The sequence below is a fragment of the Homo sapiens genome, chromosome 4, assembly GCF_000001405.40.
Source record: "Homo sapiens chromosome 4, GRCh38.p14 Primary Assembly".
In the NCBI taxonomy this organism is placed as follows: domain Eukaryota; kingdom Metazoa; phylum Chordata; class Mammalia; order Primates; family Hominidae; genus Homo; species Homo sapiens.
This window is the reverse complement of record NC_000004.12, coordinates 176173080-176197799: the sequence shown is the minus strand read 5'-3', so window position 1 is coordinate 176197799 and position 24720 is coordinate 176173080. Positions and strand designations below refer to the sequence as shown.

General features: G+C 36.6%; 2 protein-coding genes across 14 annotated transcripts in view; one reads left to right on the top strand and one right to left on the bottom strand.

Annotated features, from left to right (window-relative positions):
• The first annotated feature begins 2214 nt into the window (after window positions 1-2214).
• Window positions 2215-13221, top strand: SPATA4 (spermatogenesis associated 4). 2 transcript variants are annotated; one of them, NM_144644.4, is made up of 6 exons: window positions 2215-2455; window positions 4218-4347; window positions 4724-4842; window positions 4953-5173; window positions 9565-9681; window positions 12908-13221. In NM_144644.4, exons 1-6 carry the CDS (start codon window positions 2238-2240, stop codon window positions 13018-13020), a joined length of 918 nt encoding a protein of 305 aa, NP_653245.2. In that variant the 5' UTR covers window positions 2215-2237; the 3' UTR covers window positions 13021-13221. The 2 variants fall into 2 exon arrangements, with proteins under 2 accessions (NP_653245.2, XP_047305564.1); XM_047449608.1 differs by having other exon boundaries at window positions 2435-2463.
• Window positions 13222-14984: 1763 nt separating this feature from the next.
• Window positions 14985-24720, bottom strand: part of WDR17 (WD repeat domain 17) — a 116975-nt gene continuing 107239 nt past the window's right edge. For all 12 annotated transcript variants that reach the window (NM_170710.5, NM_001378103.1, XM_047449569.1 and 9 more), the window contains 5 exons: window positions 24431-24533; window positions 23082-23183; window positions 20644-20742; window positions 20146-20329; window positions 14985-18340 (listed from right to left, as the gene is read on the bottom strand). In NM_170710.5, the coding sequence (NP_733828.2) occupies window positions 18221-18340; window positions 20146-20329; window positions 20644-20742; window positions 23082-23183; window positions 24431-24533 (608 nt within the window). In that variant the 3' untranslated portion in view covers window positions 14985-18220. The remainder of the gene's footprint in view (window positions 18341-20145; window positions 20330-20643; window positions 20743-23081; window positions 23184-24430; window positions 24534-24720) is intronic.

The following is a 24720-nucleotide window of genomic DNA, read 5'->3' as shown; positions in this document are numbered from 1 at the left end:
ACAAATGTTAAATAACTTGCCCAAAGTCATATAGCTAATAAAAGGTAGTGTGAACCCAGAAACTCTGAGACAGGTCTCAGTTAATTTAGAAAGTTTATTTTGCCAAGGTTGAGGATGAGCACCCGTGACACAGCCTTAGGAGGTCCTGACATGTGCCCAAGGTGGTCAGGGCAGTTTGGTTTTATACATTTTAGGGAGACATGAGACTTCAGTCGACATGTGGAAGATGAACATTGATTTGGTCTGGAAAAGGTGGGACAACTAGAAGCAAAGGCAGGACAACTCAAGCAGGGAGGGGGCTTCCAGGTCATAGGTAGATGGGAGACAAATGGTTGCATTCTGTTGAGTTTCTGATGAGCCTTTCCAGAGTAGGCAATCAGGTATGCATTTAGCTCAGTGAGCTAAGCGGTGACTTTGAATAGAATAGGAGGCAGGTTTGCCCTAAGCAGTTCCCACTTTGACTTTTCCCTTTAGCTTAGTGATTTGGGGGAGGTGGGGGGGGTCCCAAGATTTAATTTCCTTTCACAGTAGAAATGGCTATTCAAAGCTTTCATCTTAAAAATCAGCTTAAAATACCACCTTCTAAGATCCAAATTAATGGTCATCTCTTTTGAGAGGACTTCTTACACTCTCCCAGGCCAAAGTATTTGCTTCCTTTCTGGTGCTAACATATTTTTACCATGGCAGAGCTTTTCAGTGTATGTAATCTTTTCACTGATATTTCTATCTCTGAATCTCTTATAAATGATCTGCCGCACAGAGCTGTCCAATCGAAATTCCTGTAGTGATGGAACAGTGCTGTGTCTGTCCTACCCAACATGGCAGCCACTAGCTACATATGGCTATTGAGCAGGTAAAATGTAGCCAGTGGAACTGAGTTTATTTAAATTTAAGTTTAAATAGCCACATGTGGCTAGTGGCTACCATATTGGATGGTAAAGATCTAGCACATACTCCAGGATAGTTCCTCAGAAAAGGTTTACAGAATGAATGAATCATTCATTAAAACTTTTTTAGCCTAACAGAAAACACTTACATAGCTTCAGTTTTGGTTTTCTTTTTTAACCACATACAGAATACACTGGTTTACTTTATTAATAAGCATGTATATGAATAAACATTAAAAATATTACATAGTATCATTATCAAGATCTATCCCATATTTTACCATGTGTATGTATCCACAGGGCCTGTCACCTGGCTCTCTGCAGCCTCAAGTTCCTGAGCTCAAGCAATCCTCCCACCTCAGCATCTGGAGTACTTGAGAGTACAGGTGTGCACCACCACACCCAGCTATTTTGTTTGTTTGTTTGTTTTGTAGCGAAAGTCTCTCCACCTTGTGTTGCCCAGGCTGGTCTTGAACTCCTGAGCTCAAACGATCCTCCCGCCTCCACCACCCAAAGTGCTGGGATTACAGGCATGACCCACTGTGCCCTGCCAAGCAAAAAAAAACAAAAAACAAAAAACAAAAAACAAAAAACTGTGGCTGTAAAAATTTTTAATGGATTTTAATAATTAAGCTTACATATTTATAATTGCCTATGCCAACTTTGCAGTTGTTTTCATTGTGTTCAGATAGATCCCAAGTGACTAGATGAATGCGTGGCACATAATATGGACTCAATACATATTTGTTGAATTAATGAAGGAATTATGCCTACTAGGAGATTTTAATTAAGTGTGAAAATCTAACCTACACATCGTTTTCAAATATTAATGTTTACAAATACTTAATGCAATAATTAAGGAAATAGTTATGTTAAATTTTGTGGACATTCATTTCCATTTCAAAGATTTTTTTCCCCCATCTCTTCCAATTCCCAAACAAAAACTGTCCTTGGCCTCTGGAGTCTTCTCACACCACTCCTCAAACTAGACGACTGAAAATAGGCCTTTGGCTGGGCAGAAACCAACAATATTTAAAATACAAAACTTATGAACGATGACATAAGAAAAAAAAAGCTCTAAATAGGTTAACAGTGAGGCCAACTAAATCTGAGACTGAAAGCGCTCCCCAGACCGCAGCCACACCACTGGGACCCCAGCTTTGCCTCCCTCGATACCCGGCCCCGCGGTCCAAAATCTGAGTAAAGCGGAAGTACGGGCGGCTGCTGCGGCGCTTGCGCAGGCGCTGAGGTCTCGCCCCATAAGACTCCGCCCCGCCCCACGAGACCGCGCCGCCAGCAATAAGGCCCAGCCCCGCCTTCTGCTGTTGCCGCAGCAACCCAGAAAGCGTCATGGCTGCCGCCGGCCAGGAAAAAGGGTATTTGACACAGACTGCGGCAGCCCTAGACAAGTCACCGTCACTTTCGCCACAGCTAGCAGCTCCCATCCGAGGGAGGCCTAAGAAGTGTCTGGTCTATCCGCATGCGCCGAAGAGCTCCCGCTTGTCTCGTTCCGTTCTGCGTTGGCTTCAGGGTCTGGATCTCAGCTTCTTCCCCAGGAACATCAACAGGTGCTTGAGTAAGCCAGTCCTAGGCCCCCCCGGTGGGCGCCCCGCCTGCTTTCCGCCGCCTGCCAGGCCTCAGATTGCCTACCCTGGCCTGGCTTATGTTTCAAATCAAGACCCCCCCACCCACGTACACACACGAAAACACTATTAGGGAACAAGGCTTTAACAAAATACCACGATACATCTTGTTTATTCAATTAATCAACCAATCATTAAATTGTGGACAATATAGAATGCTTTGGTGACTACAAAAATATTAAAATAGTCAAAGCTTTTTCTTTAGTGATATTGGGCATTAATACTGGTAAGGACGGCCGGGCACAGTTGCTCATGCCTGTAATCCCAGCATTTTGGGAGCCGAGGCAGGCGGATCACCTGAGGTCAGGAGTTGAGTAACAGCCTGACCAACACGGTGAAACCCCGTCTCTACTAAAAAATACAAAAAATTAGCCCAGTGTGGTGGCGGGTGCCTGTAATCCCAGCTACTGGGGAGGCTGCAGGCAGGAGAATGCTTGAACCCGGGAGGCGGAGGTTGCTGTGAGTCGAGATTATGCCGCTGCACTCCAGCCTAGGTGGCAGGGTAAGACTCTGTCTCAAAAAAAAAAAAAAAAAAAAAAAAAAAAAATACTGGTAAGGATCAGTTTACCCTTTGTCGGAGATGGCATCTAGTTTGAGAGTTACCAACAAGTTTTTAAAGTTGCTGCTTAATTGTAGGCACTTTGTATGTAACTGGCAGCTAATATTTGCTCTGGGAATGCAAACTAAATTCTATAAAAAGGCAATGAATCTTTTGCAGAACTCTGGTTTAAAGTAGTCTCTCCTTATCAGAGAGGCATAGGTTCCAAGATCCCCAGTGGATGGCAACTGTGGATACTACAGAACCCTCTGTCAGAACACATTTCTGTTTATGTCTTCCATCCACAAATTTAATGCCTTTTTAAAAATCTTAACTAAGCACTTATCACACACTGTGGCTGAAAGTTTTTCAGTTTGAGGTGTGATGCCGAAACTATCAAGAATTTCTTTTTCTTCATATTTCAGGAATATGATTCATTCCTACCATTGTAACCATTCTTACAACTTTCTATTAAGTCAAGAACTTTCATCTTTTCACCTAAAGGAATAATTTTATGGTTTCTCTCTGGCATATCTGAATCACCAGCATCACTGCTCTTGCACTTTGCACACAAGCGCACCACACTGTACAGTTGATCTGATGACTAAAAGGTGACTGATGTCTACAACGTGGAGACTCTGGACAAAGGGAGGACTCACATCCTAGGCAACACAGAGCAGGCAGGGAGGTTTCATCAGACTGCCCAGAACAGAGTACAATTTAAAAGTTACAAATTATTTCTTGAATTTTCCATTTAATATTTTCCGACTGTGATTGACCCAAGGTAACTGAAACTGCAGAAAGCAAAACTGCAGATAAGCGGGGGACTAGTTTACTAATTTGTCTTCAGTATTACTTACAACCATGCCTCTGAAATTTTAAAGTGCATATGAATCACCTGGGGATCTTCTTGAAATGCGGATTCAATACAAATTAACAGTTTGGGTTCATCAAAAGAACACCAAAGCCTTTGAAACGTAGATAATCTTAGCAAAATTCCACAGTAGGTTCTCCTTAGAGCAACGATCCAACAACACTCACTTTACAAGATACTTTTAGTATGGAATATTAGACTAGTATTAATTATAAAATAATACAAACTGCATAATTAACTACACTTTATTTCATTTCCTAATTGCCACGGATCAGAGATTTTTCAAATGGCTTCCTAATTGCAGAAATATTCTGTATATATTACCCCTGGGAACTTGAATTATCATCCTTTGAAAACGGGACCTCTTTAAAAGTCAAGTTGGATAACTGGGCACAGTTGGAGAAGGTACGTTAGCAGTCATTTACACTTTTAACTGTTAAGATGTTTGTTTTAAAGTGTGCCATGCTAATTTCCTGGATCTCTACGTGTATGTGTGTGACTGTGTGATACTGAGTTGGCAGCTTGTTCCTGTGTATTACAAAGTTTATTAAATTCCAACTGTTTATGTCATGAGTCACCTATGAAACTGAGCATAATTATTTCCATTAGCATGATATATACTGATTGGTTTTCCTGCTGAATATTATCTTTTAATAACTAACGTGTTAAACACAAAAATTACTTCATAGGTAAATAAAAGGGAGATTAAAGTGAATTCATAGTACTTGGAGATTTTTATAAAAGTTCTTATGATAAAAACATTTTCTTTCTACTATTAAAGTTCCTGGCAAGAAAAAAATTTAAATTACCTAAAGAACTAATCCATGGAACAATTCATTGTAAAGCTGGAGTGCCTGAAATATTGATAGAAGAGGTTTACACTTTATTAACACATCGAGAGTAAGTTCTTTGTAATTTCCTAGTAACACAATTTAATGTGAAACTTTTGATAATATAAAACTCATTGCTAAAATGTTGCTTGTCAACAGTATTTTATTTTTTATTTCCAGAATTAAAAGTATCCAGGATGACTTTGTGAATTTCACGGACTATAGCTACCAGATGCGTTTACCCCTGGTTTCCAGGTCTACAGTTTCGAAGTCTATTAAAGATAACATTAGGTTATCAGAATTACTAAGCAATCCCAACATGCTGACCAATGAACTTAAAGCGGAGTTCCTCATCCTTTTACATATGTTGCAAAGAAAATTAGGCAGAAAATTGAATCCAGGTAAGTTTTCCTTTGAAACAGCTGAGTTCTTCCAAGCTCTATCAGGCTATTCTTGAGCACAGATGAAAGAAATGTCGGCACTGGCCCATTTTGCTATCTTCTGTAACTGGTTTAAAGGGAAATTACTTCTTTAATGCTAGCAGTGAAATGATTTATTAGCATTGGAGTGGTTTATAAATCAATCTTTTTGGTGAAGGCATAAGTTAACACAGTATACAGACACTTCTTTTTAGAAACGTATATGTGTATGAAAAATTCTTGTAACCTTTCACAAGAAACAAGTTCATATATCAAGTAACTAAGGAGTTTAAGAGTTAAGCAGGACACTCATCCCTTGGGAAAAGCCTGGATTACTATGATTCACTGTGGATGCTTTCTACAGTGTGGACAATGTTATCCTTTCCATAGTAGGCTTGTTTGGATGTAGATGGTAGAGCAGATTGGGGCAATCATGGCAACTTTCCAGACGTATCACTGAAATCATTCTCTAAGTACCCAAACAAAGCATTTGCCATCTGCATTTGCCAGAGTCACTGGCAGGTGGCAGAGTAATTGAACTTTCACTCTACATGTTTTTGTTTGTTTTTCTGGCAGTTTACTCAGGATACCACTCATGTATTGAAATTTTATTTCACTTGATTCCAGACATCTAGAGACCGCATCATTTCTGTGGCACCCAAACATTCGGGAAAAGAGGCAGATGTAGGTCATTAGGATTTCTCTCCCCTGTGAACTTTTTCTGAAGAAAACCATTTTCTCTCTGGTTTCTAGCCAGAGAGGAAAGCACCAATTTTAACATCTCCTAAAATTGTGAGATGGATATTTTAGGTTTTGTCCTTCCTTACTCTTGTCCATTCTTCCATCTCTTATATTTTGTTTTCTCTTCCTTGATTTTTCTCATCTCTGGCTTTACTCATAAATTCATGAATAAAGACGTGATTCAGGTTATTAATGAGAAGAGTTTTATCTTGAAACATTTTGCATGTTTTTAAACATTAAAATTTTGCTGTGATATTTATCACACATGCACGTATATAATGTATATGTACAATTTAAAGAAGATGACTAACGATGAAAACACATTTGTATATCCCTACACAGGTTAAGAAATAGAACATTACTAATGCCTTTACCTTCCCCTTTGTGTCCTCGGACTGCATTCTCCACATTCCCTTCCAAGAGTAACTATCATCCTGCTGCCTTTGTTTATAATTTCCTTAACTTAGAAATCTAGGCCGGGTGCGGTGGCTCACGCCTGTAATCCCAGCACTTTGGGAGGCCAAGGCAGGCGGATCACGAGGTCAAAAGTTTGAGACCAGCCTGACCAACATGGTGAAATCCCGTCTCTACTAAAAACACAAAAATTAGCTGGGCATGGTGGCGTGTGCCTGTAATCCCAGCTACTGGGGAGGCTGAAGCAGGAGAATGGCTTGAACCCAGGAGGCTTAGGTTGCAGTGAGCCGAGATTGTGCCACTGCACTCCAGCCTGGGTGATAAAGTGAGACTCTGTCTCAAAAAAAAAAAAAAAAATCTATACATACTATTTATATATTATTCTTTATTTCATTTACCTATACATACTATTTAAATATTATTTTTTACTTCATTCATATATATTTTTAAGTTTAGTTGATTTTATGAAACTCTGTAGTAGGCAGAATGAGCCCCCCTGCTATCCATGTCCTAATCCCTGAAACCTGTGAATATGATACTTTACATCTGCAAAGAGACTTTGCAGATGTAAAGTTATGGACCCCAAGATAGGGTGTGTTTGCTGGCTTATTCAGGCAGACCTGATCTAATCACACAAACCCTTAGAAGCAGAGATCTTTCTTCAGCTGGAATCAAGACACATGTAGGAGAAGGAGAAGTAAGAGATCTGGAGTGTGATAGGGTCTCAACCTGCTATTGCTACAAGGGACAACATGGAAAGCATGAGAAGGTATGTGGTGCAGCTTCCAGGAGCAAAGAATTACCTTGGGCTGACAGCCAGGCAATAAACAGGGGCCTGAGTCCTGCAAACATAAGAAACTGCATTCTGCCAAAGAGCTGAGTGAGCCTGGGAGAAGATTCATCCCCAGAACTTCCAGAAAGGAATGCAGCCCTGCCAATACCTTGCTTTCAGCCTCGTGAGACTCTAAATAGAGGACACAGACTTCTGTACCATGAGATAAAAATGGCTGTTTTAAGTCATGATATTTGTGGTAATTTGTTATGGCAGGAATGAAAATCAAATACAAGCTTCATAGTTAACACTGTTCCCATAATGAGATTATAAATATATCCTCCTATATTTAAATTGATTAAAGTGAAACCTTTTAAAGTTTAAATTGATTAAAGTGAAAACCTGTAATCTGTTAAGGGAGGAGACCACCCCCCTATCGTCTTATGCCCAATTTTGCCTCCAAAGAAAGAAGAAGTAAAAACTAAAAGGCAGAAATGAAATCCACAGGCAGACAGCCCAGTGCCGCGACCTGGGCCTGGTAGTTAAAGATCGACACCTGACCTAATCGGTTGTGTTATCTATAGATTATAGACATTGTAAAGAAAAGCACTGTGAAGATCCCTGTCCTGTTCTGTTCCATTCTAATTACCGGTGCACGCAGCCCCCAGTCACGTACCCGCTGCTTGCTCAATCAATCAGGACCCTCTCACGTGCACCCCCTTAGAGTTGTGAGCCCTTAAAAGGGACAGGAATTGCTCACTCAGAGAGCTCAGCTCTTGAGACAGGGGTCTTGCTGAAGTTCCCGGATGAATAAACTGCTTCCTTCTTTAACTTGGTGTCTGAGGGGTTTTGTCTGCGGCTTGTCCTGCTACACTGTTACTTCATCTGCAATCCATATGAAGAACCAATTGCCTCAGCTGCATGTTTTGAGTAGTCTGTTCTTTTCCCACTTATTTGTAATGCCCTCTCATGTTTCAGTTTGCATGTATGTATGGGTCTGTTTCTGAACCTTCTATTCCAGTTTGTCTACATGTGTGTCACTTCAGCATCTTAATTATTATTGCTTTATAATTAGTGTTGATACTTTGTAAAGTCCTAAAATTTGTTCTTCTATGAAGTATTGTTTCTATTTCATTTACAGTGATTTATTGTTATGAATTTATTAATACTGCCCGTTGTTATATGTATTCATATCTAACATACTATTTTGAGTTTTTTTTTTCTCTTTTTCTGTTTCTTCTTTTCATCTTACCTATCTTTTCTTCTTTTGGACTAAGTTTTTTTCCAAAGATTTTTTTTCCCACTAATTTTGAACATTTTAAATCTCTACTCTTTTTAGTGCTAATCTATACATTTTAGCATGCATATTTATCTTAGTCTAAAATTAATCTTTACTCTCTTCCTGAAACTGCAAGGACCTTAGAACACTATGACACTGATCCCTCGCTGCCACCCCTTCACCTCCTTTCAGTTCGTTGTCTAGCATTTCAGTTCTGTCCAGTTATATTTTAACACCACAAATCAGGCATCATTGACTTTTCTGTTTAAAAGTCTATCTTTGTAGAAAACTAACCTGTATCTCTGTTGTCTTTTGAACACATTTTTTCTTTAACTACAGATCATCTAAACCCTTCCAATTCTTGAGCAGTGCTCTTTTTCCAGTCTTGATTCCTGAGACTGCTGATTTTAAACATTTCTCATTTGTGGCCAAAGTAATTAATTGTGATAACTATAGTTCTGGCAGTGTTACTGGCCAGAGTTGTGTTTAGTGTTGACAGAGCATGACTGGTGAGTAGGAATTAACTTAGCAACTTCTTCAAGCCTCAGTGAAGGATGAGTTGCAGAGGAGGAAGTGATCTTTAGAAGCACAAGGAAATTGCTCAAGTATTTCAGTTTACAGGATTAGTTAAAAAGAAATATGGGAAACATGGAAATAATTTTAATTCACAAATATGTGCAAAATGAAAGATACTGTATGATTTTATCAAATATAAAAATACATAAAACTAACCTATAATGATAGAAGTCAGGATAGCATTTTCCTTTTAGAATACTGTCTTGGAAAGACATGAGGGGGCTTTGGGGTACTGGTAACACATCATTTCTTGATCTGGATGATGGTACCCTAAGTGTATTCACTCACACATTCATTGGAGTGAATTATACTTACTGTTTGTTTACCTTTTTGTATATACATTATAATTGAATAAAAACTTACCAAAGACTAACAGGAACATAAATATATTACCTTTAAAGTAACTATTTTGTGTATTAAATATATTGTGAGCAATGTGGGGAGGGACTATTAACCTAGGTATTCACACTACTCAGGAATATGATAAACAGAAATTTAAATAATTTACTTAATTTTTAAATTATGGCATCTTATTTTGACAATGGCCATTATGGCTTTTTAAGAAATAACTTTTGTGTTCATATTTTATAGAATGGTTTGATGTGAAACCAACAGTGGGAGAAGTTACTCTCAATCACCTTCCTGCCCAAGCCTCTGGGCGCAGATATAATTTAAAAGTTAAAAGAGGAAGAGTTGTCCCTGTTTTACGTAAGTTTTAACTCTTTGCTTCTTAAAATTGATTTTTTTTTGCTTGACTTTCTTCAATTAAAGTTTTAAAAAACGGTTAAATAGTTAAAATGTTGGTATAGGTCAACATTCAGTCCTACACTGCCAATTACACTGGTATGCAGTTCTTTATGATAAGTGAAGGGAACATGTGGTCTGCTAAGTCGCTGCCCCCTCCCCAGCCTGCTACAATCAGATCCACTGAGTTCTGATTTATGCTTAAATAGGTGAGTTGGAAACACGTCAGGCTCATTAGAGTTCAAAGCTCAGTTCTTCAGTAGTCAGAGGATGAGTCAGTCAGTCCTGAGACAGATATAGATACTTGCATACTAAGAATTCTCAATCAGTTGTATTACAAGAAGTCACTTGATTAAACCCTGTTAATTCAGAAAGCATTTATACTACAGGAAACTGTAGCCCATGGTCCAAATTCAGCCTGTTGCCTGTTTTTGTATAGTTCACAAGTTAAAAATAGTTTTTACTTTTTTTCTTTTTTGGAGACGGAGTCTCACTCTGTCACCCAGGCTGGAGTGCAGTGGTGTGATCTCGGCTCACTGCAACTTCCACCTCCTGGGTTCAAGCGATTCTCCTGACTCAGCCTCCTGAGTAGCTGGGACTACAACGCACGGTGCCACGCCTGGCTAATTTTTTGTATTTTAGTAGAGATGGGGTTTCACCGTGTTGCCCAGGCTGGTCCTGAACTCCTGAGCTCAGGCAGTCCACCCTCCTCGGCCTCCCAAACTGCTAGGATTTCATGGTTAAAAAAAAAATCAAAAGAAAAATAGTAATTCCTGACACATAAAAATGCTATGAAATTCAAGTTCCCGTGCTCATAAATAACAGGGAACAGAGCCACTCCTGCTCATTTTATGCCTTGCTTACGGCTGCTTTGACCCTTCAACAGTTGGGTTGAGTAGTTGCCAAGGTGACTGTCTAGTCTAGAAAGTTGAGTTGCCAGATTTAGCAAATAAAAACACAGGGCAATGCAACAAATACCTCTGAGGACATATTTAGGACACACTTTTACTAAAAATTATTCATTATTTATCTGAAATTCAAATTTAACTAGGTGTCCTATATTTTATCTGGCAACCCTACCACAAAGCCTAAAATATGTACTCTCCAGCCCTTTACAGAAAATGTGTGTGGACTTCTGCTACAGATTATGTTTCCTGACGTGTTGAGGGATTTCGCCGGGGATAAAAGTTATTTGTTTACATAGAGTCTTTGAGAGCAGTGCCAATGTTCCTTTTTTTAAAAAAACAAAAAAAAACCATGATTTCTCAGAACCTTTAATATGCTAATATGCATTGTAAATATTAAAGGGGAGAGAAGCAGAATGAAGTGTTTTCCAAACTCTATTTGATCACACATCACTATTTGGTTTTGCTTTGTTTGGTGGCCTTGTAGAACTAGTGTTCCTCATAGCACACTTTTTAATGTCCAAACATCAGGCCAGCCCATCAAAATCCCTTTAACTCTTCAACCACCTGAGGCATAGTAAACATAATAGAATCCAACGGAAGTGGATAACAATGTTTCCATGAATAAAATGCATCCATAGTTTCACCTTTAGATTCTAGGAATATATCCTCTCCTTCAGCCTGCCTCAACCTTCTTCTGTTGGTGACATTTGTGGTGAAAGTTCCAGCAGGGAGGGAGGTGAAGCCACAGTGGTAGGGTGAGCATAGGAGGAGGGGATCAGGAGGTATGGAAAGGAAACTGCAGGTAAGTTTTGTTTTTGTGTTTAACTTGCTTGCCTCGTTCCCCTTATGATTAACTGAATTTCACTGGGAAAGGGAAAGAGCAGGGTCACCTGCTTTGGACATGCAGTGAAAAGGTAGAAAAGAGTAGTAATGAGTCACAGCACGGCTTCCTTCCAGTATAAGAAAGAGATGCAAATAGGCCAGAGACAAAAACTGATGCCTGCTGATATTTGAATTGCTAAAGAGTATTTCTCATTTTTGTTATCTTTTTTGAAAATCTTCAAGGTTCACATATGAGTTTTTAGAAAAACTACATGCTATCATTACTTCAGATCAGGATTCCAAGTAAAATGAATTTTTGCTTTTACAATTTTAATAATGTATAAGTGGCCATAAATAACTCCTCCCATTTTATTCTCTACTGCTCTTTTTTATGATTCTCTGGTTGCTCTTTTATGATTCACTTTCATCTCAATAGTCTTGCTCTCTTTGGAAAAAGAGATGGGTTTATGGAAGCCTTCATTGGACAAGGTAGATCAGGATGGGAAGGTGAACATACATTTATTTTTTTTACTTGTCTCAATCCTGTTCCAGATAATATACTTGGATTCTCTTAATCTAGGCACATAGTAAATTAATGAATGATGTGGATTCAGCTTTGGTAATTATATGGATGAGAACTATTAAGTGTTAAATAATTTTTTCTAAATTTGTTCAAAGGACTTCATTTCAGTTTCTGATAAGAGAGTAGAGTAAATAGTTCAGGTCTGCTACCATAGTTTGATAGTTAATGGAAGGAGGAGAAGCAAAAACACTAGACTGTAGGAACGTAACTCTGTTTTACCATCTAAGATTTCATATAATGGCACTGAAATCACAGGCTGTTCACCTGAAAATCTTCTAATTATCAAACAGGGGGGCCAAAATTAATTGTAAGTTAGGTTGTTACCTTTGCTTTTTTCTTTTTATAACACTCAAGTTCCTCTACTTGTTCACCAAAATTTAGTTATCTAGCAAAATTATGGGCCAATGGAATATAGATGTCTTAGTTGCCACTGGCCCCTCCCATTAGAACTGAGTGACCTACAGAGTCTGGGTGGCTAGCTGGAATGCCTCAGTGTAATCAGAGCTCCATAAACTGTATTATGAATCATGGACGTTTGTCAAATCTAAGTATAAAATTGTGCTACTGTTGCCTCAGCTGCTTTCTGAAGCAATATCTAAGAATAGTTGGGTCATATTCAGTATCAGATGCACCAAAATAAGCCCTGGAGATTTTTAGGCTGATGACTTTTGGAAGTGGCTGACATTCAGACTTTTTTTAATCCATGAGTACTATAATGCGTGATTTAAATATTCTTGTTTACCAGGCATTTAGATTAACTGTGCTTGACCTCTTGCCAATCATTCTGCATATATTTGATACATTAGACATGTTGATGCTTGTATGAATATTTAGTAACCATGAATTGATTTTAATTTTGCTTATTTAAATGTCCCAGCAAATATAGGTAGTGGTGGCAGTTCACATAGAGAAATACATGTGAAGCAAGCTGGACAACATTCTTATTACTCTGCTATGAAACCTATCAGAAACATGGACAAGAAACCTTGAAAAGCACCTGTCAAATGGCTTTGAAGAAGTGATGCCACCATCTCTAGCCATAATAAAGAAACAGAATCACCTAGTATTGGATGTATTTCAATAATAAATAGAGTGGTGTCTTTTCCATAATTGTGTTAAAGAACATTTCTTTTCCATTCAATTTGTTTATTAAACTCCTATGCCAGGCATTGTTGAAAATACAAAATTAAATAAATTAGTACAGAATGAGCAAAAATAATTTTAAAGGTATAAACATAATTCACCATGATGAATAAAGAGTTCTTTCTCATAATTTTGTAGGAATGGTGAATCTACTTTTTCATATGCTTTCCTTATTAGAAATTAAAGGTTACTGCTTTGCCTATTATATAGTTACACATCACATTCATTAATTAAATCGTATTCTGAATGATTATTATACTTTGGCCCATAGAACATCTTGATCATCTCTAAGAACAGCCTGAACTTAAACCATTAAAAAAAAACAGGTGTCCCTTCTATTGAAAACAAGTTGTGGGGAAAGAAAATCATCCTTTTCTTGGAATTTGATTCGGTGTTTAGCAATACATTTAGTTCAATTTAAAAGTTCCCACTGGTTGCTGCTATGCCCCATATTTTAACTGAAGGGAAACAAAAGCAGACTGATGTCCTGAAAAATTAATAATCTTTTATATATACATGGTAATTTTATGTTTTATATGTGGAAAATTTTCAACTGGTATTATTTATGTTTGATACTGGCTCATTAATAGTCTCATTTGACTCCCAAGATGAATATTACTAATGTCAATTTTCAGTTAAACTTACCAGATTTTCTGCATTTTTGAAAGTTCAGACTGTTTTATTAGCAATTCTACCTCCAGAGACTTCCTTGTTAAATTTTGCATTTTTAGAGAGATAATATTGAAGAAGACTAAGAAAGCCCGGATGATACAGATAACTTACTGGGAATGTGTTCAAAATCCAGTTTTATCTGAGGTAAGAGATCTAGGTCAAATGCATATCTTAATCAGCTATAAGTAATGTATCTGTTGTCTTGCACTCTCATGGGACAATCTAAAGTACAAAATTATGAGAATAACTTTTAACCTATATAGTTCCTTTGGAAAAGGTTTGAGAAACAAGTCTCTGAAGCTCAGCCATGAAAAAGATCCAGAGAAGAGGATTAATTTTGGGTAGAGTCAAATAATAAGTTTCTTTGTCCTCCTGGTGCTGTGTTCAATCTCCTGAAAGAGCTCATCACTCATGGCCCGACTATGGTAAGTTCCCAAGAATCCTGAGGGACCTATAGAGACTGGAAAATAGGAAATAGTCTGTAGGCTTCATTACATAGTGATTATGTAAATGAAGATACAGGATGGTCAAAGTGGGTAACCTCAAGAGTTTCTTGAGGATGAATTGTGCAACAGAAGCCAACACTACAGGCATATCTTAGACCATTTACTTCAAAAAGAATCTTTGACAGAAGGAAGCAATGAAATTTTCTAGGAGCTATAGCAGCTGCTATAGGAATAAAACATTTTCTTTTTTGTTTTGTTTTGTTTTTATTTTTGGTTTTTGAGACCTAGTCTTGCTCTGTTGCCCAGGCTGGAGTGCAGTGGCGCAATCTCAGCTCACTGCAAGCTCCGCCTCCCGGGTTCACGCTATTCTCCTGCCTCAGCCTCCCGAGTAGCTTATGGGAATAGAAGCTACTATGACATAGCATTTGTATTAATGAGTAAGCACTTTCTCCATTTTTATAGTAATTTTGGGGTATACTGTAGTCAGTGTTTCTATAGTGAAGAATCAGCCTCTGGAACAATTCAATGAAGTGATTTTCCTAGGTTACTGAGTAGGGTAACAACTCAGTTGGACAGCTTAGCCCTTTCACACCTCTGATGACTCTGATCCAAGCATTTATGGAGAAACACTTGTCTTTCAATGGTGTCTCGGGAAAGAAACAACTACTCATCTTAGCCGGTAACTATGTCATATCAGGATTTAACTGTAATATTTATTAAAATTTCAAGGACCTGAAATACGTACATACATATAAATCTAGATAATGACATGCCAAATTATAGCACAGTCATGATATATAATTTTAGCATGAAAGTACATATTTCATTTATGTACAAATATCTCAAAGATTTGGTACAATAAGCATTAATTAAGAGTTGACTATAAAGATGTCTTCTATATTACTGATATACTAAATATGAACTACTAAATTTTACAAATAATTTGTGAGGCTTTTATTATATTCAGAATACCTTTTGACTTAAAACTGAAATAATATAAATGTTATAAGGACAACAAAATACAGTCATTGCTCTAATGCAATCATGTTCCTGAACACATCTGGACAATTTCATAGAAATATATATATATATATATATATATACACACACACACGCACATATATATATTTCATACATACATGTATATATATACACATACATATATATTTCATTTGTCTTGATTGACATAAAAATCATATATTTTCACAAGATGTAACTATTTTGATGTTGTAATTTTGTGAACCACCTAGTTACTAACTTTTACAGGCAAAATATTTTTCCAATGCTTTAAAAATCATTGTCTAATGAGACTCTTCCTTTACAGAGGCATATTTAAACCTGCAAAGTAATTTGTCCACATTATTGGTAATATGAACATTTTCAAATAGTAAAATAAATTCATATAATTTGCTTGGGTTTCATGCATATGAAATCTAATAAAAATACTTTTATGAATTAAAAAATTTGTTTTTCATATTAAGGTACAATATATACAGATTGACATAGTCAAATGACATTTATAATTCTATGAAAAATTAATAGTTATAGGTAATAAGATATAGACATTGTAGAAATCAAAGATAATAGAATGATGGTCAAATCCATCCAATTTAGATTTCAGACAGAAATTGGGTGGCTATTCTGTTGTATTTATGTGCTTAAAGACTTGCAAAATTTTTTCTTCATCTTTTATACATAAAAATATTATTTTCCTGCATTCATTAAAAATACAGAAGTAATGATTGTTTATATACTTAATGATATCCTTTTAAGTATGTAAGCACAAAAAGATAGGCTTATTTATTTATTTTAAAATAAAAAGAATGACAGTAGGATTGAGACTGCCATTTTTAAGTGAGGGGTTTTTAGTACATATGTGCCAGTTAATAATCCTCCTCACCTAAGAAAAATTTGAGTTACAGATATCTCTAAGAGTTTAAAAAAATACATCTCAGGTACTCTTTTTATATTATCCATTGCATCTCTGAGTTGTGTATATTCTCTTCTATAATATTAATTATTTTTATATATATAATTTTTGGAGATGGTGGTCTTGCTCTGTCGCCCAGGCTGGAGTGCAGTAGTGCGATCTCAGCTCACTGCAACCTCCGCCTCCTGGATTCAAGCGATTCTCCTGCCTTAGCTTCCTGGGTAGCTGGGACTACAGGTACACACCACCACACCCAGCTAATTTTTGTATTTTTAGTAGAGACAGGGTTTCACCATGTTGGCCAGGATGGTCTCCATCTACCGACCTCAAGATCTGCCCATCTCGGCCTCCTGAAGTGCTGGGATTACAGGCAATTTTTTTTTTTTAATAAAATGGAATTTAAGCCTGTAATGTCTTTTTAAGGAATCAAAAGTGGTCATGTGATAAATATGATACATAGATACATAATATATATTTTTTCCAGTTTTAAGAAGTTTTGTTAAGAAGGTTTTAAAAATATTTTAAATGCAACAAGTTTAAAGATAATAAAAGCCACAAGTATTCTAGTTATATGAGATTATTCTTTAGTCAAACAAAACCATCTATATTATAAATCTTGTGAAACAACTTGAGTATCAAAGTACTTCCAGTATGCATTAATTTAATAAGTTTCAAAGTCAGAATTCTAGTCCAACTGAAATATCTGTAGTCACATTATCAGGCTTTTCATAGCTTCACACTTTTAAACAACATTTTAAAAGTTAAATCAACATAATATATCCAAAAATTCAACCAATATCTATTTACAAACATTTACTTAAAACTAATTTTCATCAAATCAATTGTGGTTTTTGTTGGTTTGTTTTTTGAGACAGAGTTTCGCTCTTTGTTGCCCAGGCTGGAGTGCAGTGGTGCGATCTTGGCTCACTGGAACCTCTGCCTCCCAGGTTCAAGGGATTCTCCTGCCTCAGCTTCCCAAGTAACTGGGATTACAGGTGCCCGCCACCATGCCTGGCTAATTTTTGTATTTTTAGTGGAGACAGGGTTTTACCATGCTGGCCAGGCTGGTCATGAACTCCTGACCTCAGGTGATCCACCTGCCTTGGCCTGCCAAAGTGCTGAGATTACAGGTGTGAGCCACCGTGCCCGGCCAAATAAATTGTGTTTTAAATAAAGTTAACATAAATTGACTAGAGTATACTGTGTAAATTATTGTACACATTAATCAAAACTAATATCCATGCATGCTGAATCTCTTAAAATAGTCACTTTATCACCTAATGCAAGTTTTCATATATATATTCGACTGCATTTTGTGATTTTTACCCGCCAATTTTTTTCAAGCCTATATAACTTACACCTTTACAATGGGACAGTTAAACTTCAGATAAAAAAACTGGTAACATTTTCTTTTTTTTAAAAGTATTTTGAATGTGTATCCATTTATTAATATTTACTAAACTTATAACTGAAAACTTTTATTAAAACAGCTAACGTTAGTGGTTTACTATGCATTTTATAAAGGAGAACGTAAGTGTTTGTTAAGTTGAAGATCACTGTGCACACCTTACATTTCAACATTTCAAGATATTCAATCATTCAAATATCCATTAAGTACTTACTGTATGTCTAGCACTATTCTAGGTGTTGCACAATTTAATATGTTTCAATATTTCAACCATATGATATTTTGGTATCTTTTATGCTGTGTGAAACTTTTATATGCTTTTTAGATTATTCAGTCCTTTATAATTTAAATGTTTCCTCCTTCCCAAACGTAGCTATTACTGTTTATAAAGGAGGCACCTATTTTTCCTTTAAATTATATATATATATATATTTTGAAGTTAATGACTAAAATTCACTGCTATTTCCCACCTCTCCCAACCTGCAATCCTTCTCCCAACCTCTGGCACTTGAGCAACAAAGATTAAGGTAATGCTAACCCATGAAAGTTTTTCTTTAAAAAAAAAAATCAAGCATGGACAAAAATCTTCTATCAGAATGGATTGAGTCGTATTCCAGTCCCTAAAGGTGAGAATGGATTCACCTTTGCCCACATCAAAGCATCATTCAAGGAGATAGCAGATTTCCCGTCTTCAAGGAAAAACACAGGGCCCTGCACAGTGAGAGTTGAGGAAAGAGAAGATGAGATTATAAATTTGCAAAGTATTTTTAAACTTTCAGAAAGAGAATCACTGCAATAAAAAAAAACATAATATTTAGGCAAAGCTAATAAAAAAATGAAGACTATGAGAAAATTAGTTTTTTTGAGCTGGACCCAAATATAGAAACATTTTCAAATGTCTTAACATTATGTCATTATACCCTAATATCTGTTAAAATAGAATTGTTTACAATTTAAATTCTTTAAATACAATAGTAATGCCAATGACAAATATGTTTTGTTAATCTGGTAACTGCCACAAAGTTTACCTATTCTATAAAAGCATATATGTCTAGTAATAGGCTTAAATATATTTCACTATTTTACTCATGTAGCCTATGTCGATACAGCTGGGGAAATTATTTAAGCCAGAAACTTTATATGTGCTCTCCAGAAGATGATGAATATTGTTCTATATTGTATATATCGTTTAAAATATGTTTAGCCATGTGATTTTCTTGCTTATTTATAATTTAGTTGCATCAGTTATGATATATGCCAGGGTAGTTATAAAGAACTAAATGTGAAATGTTTTCAGTCTATATTACCTAGCTCTGATAAGGAAAAGCATAATTTCAAAAACACAAGATGCAATACAAATTATGTTTTCTTAATTAGGTTCTAAAGCTGTTGAGTTTGGGGTCTGATTTCAAATGATACAACTTGTTGTTAGCAAATTATTTCTAGATAATGGAAAGCTCATCATAGGAGTATGTAAAGTAGACAGCTCCTATTAGTAGGCACTAGAAATTTCACAATTATAACCCAAACACGTCAACTTTCTGTTGAAACAGAAATATCCTGGCAGAACAGTACTCCATCTATACCAGTCACGTGGGCCTCAGTGTATATGAGATAATTAGTAGCTCTTTTCCTGGATGCAGGTTTGGCTACAGAGAGGTTAGATAGTGTCTTTTAGGTCAAGGTCAGATGGAGAAAAGAAACCTTAAGAAAAGGAGGAAAGAAACCTGAAGGTACCACGTACTAGAAATGGTATACAAAGGGCAGAGAATGGCAATGATGACATACTCCAAATATTTCATAATGTTTCTTGCTCTTTACTAAAAGTTATTTAATTTCCTGACTTGGTTCTCTATTTGTGAGCATAAATGGATAATAAAGGTGTATACAACTATATGTCCTGTCTTTTGGAAGATACTGGTTATGTTTTGAGACTAAACTAGCTTGCAGTGGCAAGCTAAGCTACAGTTAAGGTTTACATCAGTATCCAGCTACTTCATTTATTTTGGGTGGCTATGACAAAACCTGCCTTCTTCATTGGGCTAGCATGGAAGCATTAGAAATGTGACTTTTCACATTACATTAGAAATACATAAGAATCTGCTCAATAAGCTGTGTATATTATTGGGAGGTGGGATCTTTTTTTTTTTTTTTTTTTTTTTTTTTTTTTTTTTTTTTTTTTTTTGAGACGGAGTTTCACTCTTGTTGCCCAGGCTGGAGTGCAATGGCTCGATCTCGGCTCACCAAAACCTCCTGGTTTAAACTTTCATGCAGGTATACATATTACATGAATTGCTTCTGTGGTAAGAGTCAGTACAATGCTTGTATTTGAATTTATTTTAGGCAGAAAGAGGCCACTTGTACTAACTATGGAAGCACTAGAGGTAATATTTCCTTACTGGACCCCAGTCCTAAATTACCTACTTTTATCCAAATTAGGCTTATTTTAAGATATTTCAAAAAGTAAACATGTAAAATGGTGAAATACACATGTTATGTCTGATGTTAGGCTTTACCTGGATTTTTAATCCCGTAAGACAAGAAATGTGAATATCAGAATGACTTGGAAGATTTGATCCAGTCACATAATCTGGTCCAATAATTCCTTTCAGTGACTCTTCTTTTAGTCTCTTTAATAAAGTTGCATAAATCATTCTTTGTGAATCAGAAGGGGGTGTATACGGAGAGTCTTCTAATGATCTATATTTTCAACAGATATCAAAATTTCATTTTGTCGAATCACAGAATTTTTGATGTTTAGATTAGAAATTATCCCTGATGATTATTTAGTTCCCCTTTATTGATGGAGACAAATCCCTTTAGACTTAATTTATAGTAAAACAAAGGACTACATGGCAGAAAAGTACGGTATTGTAAATTATTACTGCATATATGCCAAACAAATCAAGATTCATTATTCTGCTAAAATTAATGAGACCACACATACTTCCAACAAGTTTGTCTATAACATCAAATACCTTCTGCATTCCAATTTTTATATCATATTTGCTCACCTGTTGGTGGACTGTGTGCAAGCTCTCCATGCATCCAATTCCTCAGAAAGATATTCAATTTTTAAAGGTACTGACACCTCCCGACGTTTTAATAGCTGACTGAACGTGTGAAAAGGAAATTAACATCTGATACCAAAAACTAAGATATCAGAAAAAGCAAACAAACTTTAAATGTGATTTTAGATTTATATATTTCTGTATACAGACATTATACGTTATATATAATATACATATAGAATATTTTCTAGTATATGCGTATATATGCTCACCTGTATATTTAGCACAGTCCCTGGCAAGTCAAAGTTATTCAATAAACATTGGGTGGATGAGTAAATGAGTGAGTGGATAAATAAATGAACTGCATAATGTATGAAGAATGGTTGGACAAGTTAAGTGATGTTAAATAATAGCCACAGTGAGAGAGAACACTTAACCATGACCCTGATCATTTAATCTTGAATGACAGAAAGAGAACACGGGAGAAGGAGATTTGAGAAGAAAGATGATTTGAATTCTGAGCATACTGACTTTAGGCTGGAGTTTAGCAAGCTGCTGAATATACACATAGGAGTTTGAAGAGTACGCTATGCCTGAATATAAGACACTGAGTTACCTCCATAGAGGTGATAGGTGAAGCTGAAAAGTGGTGAGGTTTCTGAAGGACACCGTATAGAAAGGAGACGGGAGGGAGTGGAGCCGTGGGAGGAGAGTGGGATGGAGAGGAGGAAAAAGGGAAGCAGAGGACGAGAGAATGAAACTTTGGGGACTCACATATTTAGTGGGTCAAGAAAATAATTATAAGCAGCAAGACAACAAAGATGGAACTGTCAGAGACGATACATTCTTTAATATTAGGAAATTATCAATTTCTCTTTCTAAGCTAACACATTCCCTAAACTTAGTCACATTCTCTCAAGTCTCTCCTGCCCTTGCAAATAAAAACCGTTCTTTTTCTTTTTGATATTAATTTAATGCTTAATTAAGAATTTTTCTCTTTACTTTTATCATTATATATAGCTGAACATATTAAACATTATTTTACATCTATGTGATATATCCTACTGCTCCTATAATATCTTTTAATACTGTTAAATGTTGCTTTCCAATTTTGGTTATGCTACCTATGTAGAAAGAGATTTTTCCCTGAGCATGCTGATAGTATTAATTCCATATTATTCCTTATTTGTACTAGGTGACAGCTAGTGCTTCACCTACGCAATAGGGAGAAGTTAGGAATGAGAAAACCTGTTTCTCTTAGAATCCTCTGCCACATATGAACTCAGAAAAACTGCTTAACCGGCCGGGCATGGTGGCTCACGCCTGTAATCCCAGCACTTTGGGAGGCCGAGGCAGGCAGATCACGAGGTCAGGAGATCGAGACCATCCTGGCTAACATGGTGAAACCCCGTCTCTACTAGAAAAATACAAAAAATTAGCCGGGCGTGGTGGCGGGCACCTGTAGTCCCAGCTACTCGGGAGGCTGAGGCAGGAGAATGGTGTGAACTTGGGAGGCGGAGGTTGCAGTGGGCTGAGATTGTGCCACTGCACTCCAGCCTGGGAGACAGAGAGAGACTCCATCTCAAAAACAAACAAACAAACAAACAAACAAACAAACAAATAAAAGACTGCTTAACCACGGACCCTCTGCATTTGTTAAAATGGTTACCTACTAAGCCATTTAGCTAACTACTAGACTTGGAAGAAGGTTTTTATGGAAGGCACCGTGAATTTTATTTTATAGTATAAGAAGTTTTAAGTACAAGGGCTGAAGTTAAACAAGTTGTTATAAAATGTAGGAGTATGGCTAACAGGTTATGCCTGAATATAAAATATTAAAATAGTAACCTGCTACTTACAAACTCCCTTTACTCTGCCTTTTCTGCTGTAGAGATTGAAAAGCTAAAATATTCAGTTTCCTATTTTCTTTTAGTGAGATGTGGGCATAAAACCCTAAGGAGGACTTTCCTTCCTGAATAAAATGGTCTTGCCAGGAGAAAGTCCTTTGTGGTCTCTTTCACTCTTACCTCTTTCCTACTCAGAATGTAGTCGTAATTCATGGAGGGCTAGCATCTATCTTCTAACCATGGGATACTCAAGCAAGAGGAAATAATCCAAAAAATGTCATAGTGGAAAGAAGGGAGTATCAGGTCCTTGAAGAAATCACTGCACGGCAGTAAAAGCCTTAGAAAGCCTGTCTCAAGTGTCTTGACATGAAAGATCAATAAATCCTAGGAGTTTAAGCTAGTATTCAAATTATTATTATTTACAGCCCAATGCATCCCTAATTTATGTGCTGCTTTATTATAAAGCACACGCTGAGTAAATAGATGGATACTTGTAATAATATATTTGATACTTTGTATAATCCACTTAGAGACTATCCATCTTAGCAAGAGAAATTGCTCTAATGTCATGATGGAGGAAAAAACCTTTTTTACCTTGTGTACTCATAAAGTGCTGGAACAATGCTTTGGTACTGTCTTCTGATAGCCAGTAATGCACCAATGTAACCACATAATATCAGCAACTCATTTCGAGCTCTAAAAGAGAATATATTTATTTTTATAAATTCCACAATTTGAGGCATAGAACATTACTCTGATACACAGTTCATGTACTTTATATATTCTGAAAGGTGACATTTATAGCAATATATGTTTAGAAAATTTTCTAAACTTAAGGAAAATTATTCACCAGTTCTTAATTCCTATTCAGATATTTATGCTATACCATCAATTAGACTATAAAATAAGCATATTTAAATAGTATTTCACTGTTGCCTGCTTGTTGTTCTGTATTTCCTGGCTGTTTCTTCATGTAATTTATCCCTAAATAGCTCCTTTGGTCAGGTGGAGGGAGTCCTGGAATACCGTGTAGACTCACAGTAAAGAACGTCTTCTGCATTCTTGCTGAGGGAGTTAGCCAGTCTCCCAGGCTGCTGCATCATTTTTTCCATTTAGGCTTTAAAACAAAAAGAGCCCAAAGCCTCTCTTGTAAATTATACAAGAGTCTCTGAGGGCTTTAGTTATATAGATAATAATGTCTTTTAATAGTACCTGAATCCAGGGATGATGTCTATTTTGTACTTTCCAGCAATTTTACTTCTTTCCCACAAGCTCAGTATGGTGCTTTGCATACAATGGATAATTAACAAATATGACCATGAGTTTCTTAAGGACTTGAGATCCAAAAGCTTTGAACTTGCTTTCTTTAAACCAGGTGTGCATGTGTGTGTACATATATAAACATACACATACTAGATATTATTAAGTGGGACCACTAATATTTAATACTCTGTTTCAAGTTGACCTCTACATTTTTTTTCTTAAAAACATAACAAACGGCCAGGCGCAGTGGCTCATGCCTGTAATCCCAGCACTTTGGGAGGCCGAGGTGGGTGGATCACGAGGTCAGGAGATCGAGACCATCCTGGCCAACATGGTAAAACCCCGTCTCTACTAAAAATACAAAAATTAGCCAGGCATGGTGGCGGGCGCCTGTAGTACCAGCTACGCGGGAGGCTGAGGCAGGAGAATGGTGTGAACCCAGGAGGCGGAGCTTGCAGTGAGCTGAGATCACGCCACTGCACTCCAGCCTGGGCGACAGAGCAAGACCTCATCTCAAAACAAAGAAAAAAAATATATAACAAACAAAAATATAATATTTCTACAAGTGTAGCTACCTGTCCAAGATAATCCTATTTCCCGATCTGAATACCAAAAACAATGGAGCCACTTTAAAATTATCAAATAGATTCACTTATATATTTTGCAGAAAAAATACTCACTCAGTACACGTATGCAAGAGTAATTTTTCAGTACGAATATAGCTCAGTAGGTCAAGAACAGGGTATATGGTATCCAAAGTCCAGTCTGAGCTACTGATGTATTCTGGAAAAATTAAACCAGATGGAAGATTCATTAAATAACAGTCTCAAAATTTATTCATCCATTTTTAACTTATATAATTAATTTTCTGTCAGTCAGTCCTACTTACCTCTTTATTTTCTAGATCACAAGTATTTTCCTATTTATCCTCTCTCAGGTCCCCATACCATAAAATCAGAAGAGATGCCAT